The sequence below is a fragment of the Homo sapiens genome, chromosome 9 (assembly GCF_000001405.40).
Source record: "Homo sapiens chromosome 9, GRCh38.p14 Primary Assembly".
Lineage (NCBI taxonomy): Eukaryota > Metazoa > Chordata > Mammalia > Primates > Hominidae > Homo > Homo sapiens.
In genome coordinates this window covers 26,805,124-26,815,293 of record NC_000009.12, presented here as the reverse complement: position 1 = coordinate 26,815,293, position 10,170 = coordinate 26,805,124, and positions in this window count along the sequence as shown.

The window sequence follows — 10,170 nt, the reverse complement described above, 5'->3', positions numbered from 1 at the left end:
TTTACAGATCTGGCAATTTTGATTGAATGTCACACATTGTGGATTTTAGTTTGTTGGGTGCTGAATATTTTTATTCCTATAAATAGTCTTAAGCTTTTTTACTGAGATACAGTTAAGTTGCTTGTAAATAGTTTGATTCTTTCCATTCTTGTGTTTAAGATTTATTAAGCAGGACTGCTATGTGCTCATCTAGGGCGAATTATCCCCCACTACTGATAAAATACCCTTCTTTGTCCTTAACTCAGTGCCGTTTGTAGGACTCAAAAGGCATTCCACTGTCTTCTGGGCTTCATAGTTTCTGATAACAAGTCCATGTTATTTGAATTGTTGTTCCTTTGTATGTAATGTGTCATTTTTCTTTGGCTACCTTCAAAACTTTTCCTTTGTCTTTTGTTTTAAGTAGTTTCACCTTGATGTGCCTTATCATGATTTTCTTTGTATTTAATCTTTCTTCATATGTATATACACAGTATATATATTCATTCTTCTTCTTCAGGACCCCAGTTACTTATATACTAGGCCTTTTGATATTGTCACACAGATCTCTGAAGCTTTTTTTTTAAGATCATTTTCCTCTCATGTTCAGATTGGATTATTTCCATTGCTCTATCTTCAAGCATGCTAATTCATTTCTGTTTTGTCCCAATTCTGCTATTAAGCCCATGTAGCAATTTAAAATTTTTTTGATACTATTGTGTTTTTTCAAATAACATCTCCATTTGGTGTTTTTTCAAATAACATCTCCATTGGTGTTTTACATATAAAATTTATATTTATATATTATATAAAATTTATATTTATATATTATATATTATATATAATTTATATACATATAATTATATATAAATATATAATTATATATAATATATAATTTATATACATATAATTATATATAAATATATAATTATATATAATATATATTAGGAGACAGGATCTTGCTCTGTCACCCAAGCTGTAGTACAGTGGTGTGATCATGGCTCACTGCAGCCCCAAACTTCTGGGTCCAAGCGATTCTCTTGCCTCAGCCTCCTCAGTAGCTAGGACTACAAGTGCACTCTACTGTGCCCAGCTAATTTTTAAATTTTTTTTGTAGATATGTGGCCTCACTATGTTGCCCAGGCTGGTCTTGAACTCCTGAGCTCAAGCAGTTTTCCTGCCTTGCTCTTCTGAAGTGTTAGGATTATAGGCATGAGCCACTGTGCCTAGCCTAAAATATATTTTCTTTGCCTGTGCTAAGATATTTATCTCTTCATTCATCTGGACATTATTTATTTTTACTTTATTGAATGTAGTCATAATAAATACTTTAACATCTTTGTCTGGTAATTCCAATATCAGGGTTATCTCAGTTTGCCCTTCATAGATTGTCTTCTCCCTTTTGAATAAATCAAATTTCACATTTTCTTGGGTTTACATTTTTTGGGCACTTTTGGATTCTTTTGAATAGATAGTGTGATTATTATGTTGTGGAGACCCTGAATTCTATTATATTCCTTTATGTAATAGAATATGATTTATTTTCTTATATTCCTCTGAAGAGTGTTGGCGTTTTGCTTCAACAGGCAGCAAGCTCAATTAGACTCAAATTTCAAACTGTAACTGATTGCAGCTCAAATCTTAGTTTAGTTCCTCTAGCCTTAAAAACAAGTTGCTTTGATTCTGCCCTACATATTTCATGCATGGTTTAGGACAGTCAAAAGACTTGGGAAGAGTTTACACATAGAGTATGTGAGCCCTTCCCCTACTTCTCTTCTTTCTAGAATTACTCCTCTTAGTTTATGGAGTCTGTGGCTTCCCCCAGCTCTGTCCTCATCTTCATTAGCTAGAAAGTTGTCATGTATTCTATGGGAACTCAGCCACCCTTAACCACATTATGCTCATAGACTATTCTCAAGCCAAAGCCACAAATGGTAAGGAACTCACACTGTGTTAATTCCTTTGTCTAAATTTTTACTCCAAAGTCTGCTTACTCTCCAGACCCTTTTGATACTTGTTTCTTATATTTTAGCCAGAGTTTGTATATTTTTTATATTCATGAGAGGAACAGTCTTTTAGAAGGTTACTCCACTATAACAGAGGTAGAACTCTTTTTATTTTTATTTTTATTTTTTTTTTTTTGGAGACAGAGTCTCGCTCTGTTGCCCAGGGGCACAATCTCGGTTCACTGTAACTTCCGTCTCCTGGGTTCAAGCGATTCTCTGCCTCAGCCTCCCAAGTAGCTGGGATTACAGGCATGCACCACCATGCCTGGCTAATTTTTGTATTTTTAGTAGAGACGGGGTTTCACCATGTTGGCCAGGCTGGTATCAAACTCTTGGCCTCAAGTGATCGACCTGCCTCAACCTCCCAAAGTGCTGGAATTACAGGCGTGAGCCACTGCATCCGGCACAGAGGTAGAGCTCTTTATGTCTGTGTGTACCCAACATTTAGTTTCTACTTAAGTGAGAACACGCGATATTTGGTTTTCTGTTTCTGTGATAATTTGCTTAGGAAAATAGCCTCAAATTTCATCCACGTTGTTGCAAAGAACATGATTTACTCTTTTTTTATGGCTGTGTAGTATTCCACGGTGTATATATATCACATTTTCTTTATCCAATCCACCACTGATGGTCAACTAAATTGACACCCTGTCTTTGCTATTGTGAATAGTGCTGTAATGAACATACAAGGGCATGTGTCTTTTTGGTAGAACAATTTATTTTCTTTGGGTATATACCTAGTAATGAGATTTCTGGGTTCTAATTTTAGTTGTTTGAGATGGCAGTTCTAATTTTAGTTCTTTGAGTCATCTCCAAACTGCTTTTCACAGTGGCTGAACTAATTTACATTCCCATCAACAGTGTATAAGTGTTCCCTTTTCTCCGCAGCCTTGTCAACATTGTTATTTTTTTACTTTTTAGTAATAGCCATTCTGACTGGTGTGACATGGTGTCTGATTTTGGTTTTTATTTGCATTTCTCTGATGACTAGTGATGTTGAGCATTTTTTTGTGTTTGTTTGGACGCTTGCGTGTCTTTGAGAAGTGTCTGTTCATGTCCTTTGCCCATTTTTTAATGTGGTTGTTTCTTGATGGTTTAAGTTCCTTATAGATTCTGGGTATTAGACCTTTGTCAGATGCATTGTTTGTGAATATTTTCATTCATTTTGTATGTTGTCTTTTTACTCTGTTGATAGTTTCTTTTGCTGTGCAGGAGCTCTTTAGTTTAATTAGGTCACACTTGTCCATTTTTGTTTTTGTTGCAATTTCTTTTGAGGACTTGGGCATAAATTCTTTGTTAAAGCTGATGTCTGGAGGAATATTTCCTAGAGTTTTTCTAGATTTTATAGTCTGAGGTCTTATATTTAAGTCTTTAATTCATCTTGAGTCAGTTTTTGTGTATGGTTATAGGTAGGGGTCCAGTTTCATTCTTCTGCATATGGTTAGCCAGTTTTCTCAACACCATTTATTGAATAGGGTGTTCTTTCCCCATTGCTTATTTTTATTGACTTTGTTAAAGATCAGTTGGTTGTAGATATACTGCTTTATTTCTGGGTTCTCTATTCTGTTCCATTGGTCTATTTATCTATTTTTGTACCAGTACCATGCTATTTTGATTACTGTAGCCTTCCAGTATAGTTTGAAGTCTTATAATGTGATGCCTCCAGCATATTCTTTAACTTTAAAAAACTAACACATATGCAGAAAAGTGTATAAAAGTATAAATAGCTTAAAGAATTAATGCAAATTGAACAGATATATAACTACTATCTCAATTAAGAAATAAAATATTATCAGCCTTCCAGGAACTATGGGAGTTTTTTGGTTTTTTGTTTGTTTCTTTGTTTGGTTTGTTTTTCAAGAATGGGAACACTTTGATTATATTTATAGACATGAAGAAGATAACTGATGACTCAAATTCCTGAAAGAGGGAAGAAATAGTAAGGTTTTTAACCTTATTAGTCATTAGAGCAGCTCTATAAAACCACAATAAAGTATGATTGAACTGCCATCAGAATTGCTAAAATTTAAACCATGAGCAACTCATGCTGTCATACACTGCTGGTAGGAGTATAATGAGTACAACTATTTTGGAAAACTGTTTAGGAGTAACTTCTAAAGCTGAACAAACATACACCCTGTGGCTTAACTTTTTCACTCTTCAGTATGTACCTGTTAGAAATATGCTTATGTTACCCAAGAAGAGATATATAAAAATGTTCATAGTCAAAGTAGTTTTAATGCCAAAATTTAGAAACAACACAAATGTTCATTGGTAGCAGAATGAATAATTAGTTTGTGCTCTATTCATATAATGGAATGTTATATATCAGTGAGTATGAACAAACTAATGTTACATGCAATATGAAAGAATCTCACAAACGTAATGTTTAATGAAAGAAGCTAGACATGGTTGGGGAGTGAGGAGGACTTCTGGGTGCTAATAATGTTCTATTTCATTGTAGATGATGGTTACACTGGGACATTCTTTGGCAAAAATCTATTGAATATTATAATTTATTGGCTTATCTGTATTAAACCTTAATAAAAACTCAACTTATTCTTTAAAAAAAGTCCTCCTACTGTGTTTTTGTTTTACTCTTTTAGCAACAATAAGCTACATTCTCTGCATATCAAAACGCATTTATTTTTCCTATATCTGTACATTTAGTGAGATATCAGATTTCTTTTTCTTGTTTTTTTTGAGACAGGGTGAGATATCAGATTTCTTATGATTGGAATCTTTAAATGTTAAACTTAGTTCCCATGGACATATTCTGTACATTCTATAACTGTCCCAGAGACAATATGTATCTCTGTTGAATTCAGTTTCCACATTGGAGTTATTTTAAGATATTATTTGTGTGTTGCTAAACAGTCCAGAATCTTTTATACACAGATAGTTTAAAGACTTTACAGAAAGAGGTTGTGAATTATTATGACACTATAATTCTTAAAGGAATAATGCTTTTTAAAGCCAGTGGAGAATTTAGCAGTAGAATTGCTGTACAAGATTTAGGGGGACATTTGAACCTCATTATAGAAAATACTTTGATTCAATGGCTTCGGAAAACAGGCTGTATTAGTTATCTATTTGTGTGTAACTAATTATTCCAGAACTTTGTAGCTTAAAGCAACAAACATTTATTAACCTCACAACTTCCCTGAGTCAGGAATTTGGATACAGCTTAACTAGATCCTCTGGCTCTGGATCTCTCACAAGGATGCAATTGAGATATCAGTGGGGCTGCTGATCCAACTGATGGCAAGGCCTGAGGGAGGATCCACTTCCAAGGTGACTCATCTGATATTTGGCAGGATTCACTTCCTTGTGGTTGCTAGACTGAAGACCTTAGTTACTCCCTGGCCATTGGCCTTTGTCAATTTCTTGCCACGTAGGCCTCCCCATAGGGGAGTTTATAACCTGGCACATGACTTCCATTAAAGCAAGCAAGAGGGCAAGAAAGGATAAGCAAGACAGGAGCCAGAGTATTTTTGTGACATCTGTCATTTTTAAGTGAGTTCCCAGGTCCAGACAATATTCAAAGGAGGGGGTTGTACAAGGACATAAATATCAAAAGGTTCAGGTCATTGGAAGCCATCTTAGACACAATCTATCACACTGGGCTTTGGCTATAGCCAAGATGATAATGTCTGTAACTGGGCTGGAGTGCATATCAGAGTGTTTTCAATAAAGATTTTCTTTTGGCTGGTTTATTCTGACTTCTGTTCTTTAGGGTATTTCTCTAATTTCAATAAATTGGGGTCAAAACATACTCTTTGGATATCTTAAGACTTGTCTTTCCACCTGTTTACTCCAATTTTTCCTCTATTCTCTGCCCTACATGGCAAAAAACTGTTTTTCCATTTATTTTCTATGATCTAGTGTTTGAATCTAGAGGTGTACTTGTTTCTGTGTTTGAAGAAGTAGAGAAGTAAAAAAAATACTTGATTTATCCATATGCTGTTCTCACATGAGAAGATCCTTGCCTATGTAAGAGCACTAGCAGAACTGTCAACTGGTAGTTGTTGGTGCCACCCTCATTTCTTTTAACAGTGTGAGTTGATTGAGGTTGTCATTTTTTCTTCTTAACTATTTCCTCAAAAGGAGATAATTGAAGCTTCTAGTAAGTTAAAAAAAACTCTTCAAGGCCTTTTTCATTTACAATGACATACTGTATTATCATCTGTTTTTCTTAGTATTGTAGGTAATGAATTTTAAAAATAATTTAAATGATGCTAGCTTTAGGCTCTTTTTAAACAGCAAAGAAAAATTACTGGGGAATAAATGTACAAGTCTATGAATAACTGCTTTCTGGTTGTACAATAATGTTTATTTGTTTAAAGTTTAAATAATACAAAGACAGATGGTTAATAATTCCTATCTGCAACCATAAAAGTAAAATAAGTTTATTTAATTTTTTAAAAAAATCAAATGGGCATGTGAGCAGTTAATCTGTTGCTATCTTTCCATTGGAAACAAATTAAAAATAGTAGAAAAATATTTAGAAACAATTTCTCAGTCATAGAACGTAGTTTCTTATTTTGTTCTCATTGGTACCTCTCTTTCTTGTTGGAAATGCTGAAGTATTGAAATACTTCTTTTCTGTAGAAGGTGGTTCTCCCTTCTACCCAGGAATAATTTTGTGGCAAGTCATTGAGTCAGCAGTTATTTTGACCCTAACTGAAAGAGATAAAGTTCCTAAGAATTTATTATATATGTTTCTTGCCACTGAGTGAGCAAGAAAAATACATACCCATCAGTGCTGACTGGTTGGTAATTTCTGAAACACAATGCCACAGCTCTTCATGAATAACACAGTAACAGAATTACAGAGAATTTGGAAGAGATCAATCTCTAGATGGATGAGTTAGTCTATAAACAAATAGCTACTCAACTTCTTTTAACTTTTAAGAATGCTGTATGTGTTTTCTAATCCAGATCCTTGGGTTTCAGTGAGTCTCTAGAAATCAAGAAATTTTTACAGATTAATGGATCAGCAAGTCAGCATTGGTATATGGACAAAATACCTTGTATTATTAGTGAGTAATAAGGAGAGCTTTCCCCTCTACCCCATGTCACTTCTAGAAACTCTACTCTTTAACTTGAAATTTACCATGACTGTTTAGTGAGTTGAATTTAAACCTGATGTCATGGGATGAGAAAGGAGTGTAAGTTTATCAATGATCTGTGAAACCCTGTCAATAAAATATTTGTGTCTTTGTCTCTCCATAATGTCAGGGTGTATTGTAAATGTCAGGGTGTATTGTAAAATATAAGTAAAGTATTTATGTGGCTTAATTGTTTTATTTGTGGCATATTCATGAAGCTGTGTTATGCAATGTCTTTGCTATACATATTTGTCAATTAACTTGTATTAACTTTATGCAGGGGGCTTGTATAACTTTGATAGCCAAAGACATTTCCAGGCCTTGCCATGTTTCTGTAGAAAATGTGCCACAGGGAGTATAAACTTGTAGCTGTTTGATAGGTATTGATATGGTTTGGCTCTGTGTCCCCACCCAAATCCCACGTTGAATTGTAATCCCCACTTGTTGAAAGTGGGGCCTGGTGGGAGGTGATTACATCATGGGGATGGTTTTGAATGGTTTAGCGTCAGCTCCCTAATGCTGTTTTGTGATAGAGTTCTCACAAGATCTGATGAGATCTGACGGTTTAAAAGTGTGTGGCAGTTCCCTACTCACTCTCTCTCTTTCCTGCAGCCATGGTAAGATGTACTTTCTTCCCCTTTGCCTTCCACCACGATTGTAAGTTTCCCGAGGCCTCCTAGCTATGCTTCCTGTTAAGCCTGTGGAACTGTGAGTCAATTAAACACCTTTCTTTCATAAATTACCCAGTCTCAGGTAGCTCTTTATAGCGGTGTGAAAACAGACTAATACAGGTATATTACCTGATATTTCTGGTTTCCGTCTTTGAAGCCTGCCAACATTCCCACCTCTGTAAATGAACAAGCAGATAATTTTAAATCAAGTAAATATGACTTGAACTTTCACGTGAGATACAAAACCCAAACAATCCCTTATCCATTTCTGCAGACAAGAAATGAGGTGGCAGGAGATGCCTTGAAATGATCTGTGAGGCACCTCCAGTATTTTGGCAGGTGGAGGTAGGCAGGGTGGTTAGAGATTTGAAAACAGTTAAAAATCATGACACATTTTTAATAGTCTGCATACAGTGTTTGCTTCATTTGCAGTGCTTTTATAGGTTTTTTACACTTGGACAAACAGGTTTTTCTTTTTTTTTTTTTTTTAAGATTTTTGTTTCAGTATGTCACTTGGCAGGGGCAAAATTACTGAATGGGGAATGTTAACTACTTTGGGGTGGATAACCTTAGACAAAATTGTGAATTAAGTCAAGTGTCTTTGTGGCAATCCACTGCCTCCTTTGAAGTATTCTTCCTGCCAAAGGGGCTTGTGCTATCAATACCGCCCTGGCCACAGAGAGGAAAGAAACCTTCATTCACACAGAGACAGTAGGGACTTAATATGTTACCCACACCATCAATAGTGGCATTTTTTTTTTTTTTTTTTTTTTTTTTTTTGGAGACAGAGTCTCGCTCTGTCGCCCAGGCCGATCTCAGCTCACTGCAAGCTCCACCTCCTGGATTCACGCCATTCTCCCGCCTCAGCCTCCCAAGTAGCTGGGACTACAGGCACCCGCCACCACGCCCGGATAATTTTTTGTAATTTTAGTAGAGACGGGGTTTCACCGTGTTAGCCAGGATGGTCTCGATCTCCTGACCTCGTGATCCGCCAGCCTCTGCCTCCCAAAGTGCTGGGATTACAGGTGTGAGCCACCGCACCCGGCCAACAGTGGCATTTTAAGAGAGAACCAAGGGAAACAGCAATGCTTAGCAATAAAGGTAATAATAATTATTGTTATTATTATAATGTTATCTACGGTGTGTCAGGCACTGTGCCAAGGACTTTATATGTGTTATCTTTACTCATTAAGACAGCCTTATGAAGAATGATTATTATCCTCATGTCAGAGATGCCATACCCACAATAATACAAGAGAATAGCAGAGCCAAGTTTCATCTGTGTGATGCCAAAGTCAGTGCTCTTTCCTTTGCACTGTGATTTTACTAAGATTTTGAGCATCAAAATAGGACATAACATTTGGGTGGGGACCTTCCTTAACTTCTTCAAATTATGGAGAGACAAAGTTCATTCTGTAATCAGAGGCTCTTTCACACACCAGGCAAATGTTTTTCTGGGTCTGATGCAGCGAATACATTAAAATGTGTGAGAGAGCTATGAGTCAATGATAGAAGACCAAAAATAACGACAACAACAAATAAAACAAAAGTCTGAAGTGATGGGAGGTTCCTCTGGCCACTGGAATAGCACCCCGGGAAAGAGCAGGGTCCGTGGACCATTGATCCCTTTGCTCTGTTTGTATCTGAATGCCATCAGTGACTTTCTGTGTGTGTCAGGGGACGAGGACTGGTATCTTCTTACTTCAGTAGCTGCAAGGAGAGTTAAGAGCATTATTAATCATTGATAGTGGTACTATATTTTCCAGCTGTGCTCCAATAGCCTAGTATACAACAATCATATATTTTCCATGAGAAAGTTCTCATTCAATTGGAAAGTAAAGCAAAGAGGGCAGGAAATTGGTAGTGGTACATGGGTCTCTTTTTATATTCAGAATCTCCAAAGTGAAGCCTAGAAACCTGTATTTTTTAGAAAACTCTCAGATAATTCTGATGCCCAACTAAGTTAAGCTTAGTTTATTTATGGATTTATTAATAATTATATTATTAAATTAAATATTATTAATACTAAATTATGGATTAATAAATCCATAACTAAACTACATGGATCCTTTGGATTCTATTTTATTAACTCCCATTGTCATTTTAAAATCAATTTAGTTAGATGGTTAACATTTTACCAGTGTTAGAATCACCTATACTTAACTTCAGGAATATTTTTTGGTTATGGGCTAGGTTGTAGAAGATATTTGCATTGCTTTTATCACATCTCACATCATTTCTAAAAGCACTGAGATAGCTTGATTAAGAAATATATGTGGCCAGGCATGGTGGCTCATGCCTGTAATCTCAGCACTTTGGGAGGCTGAGGTGGACAGATCACTTGAGCTCAGGAGTTTGAGACCAGCCTGGGCAACATAGCAAGACCTTGTCTCTAAAAAGAAAAAA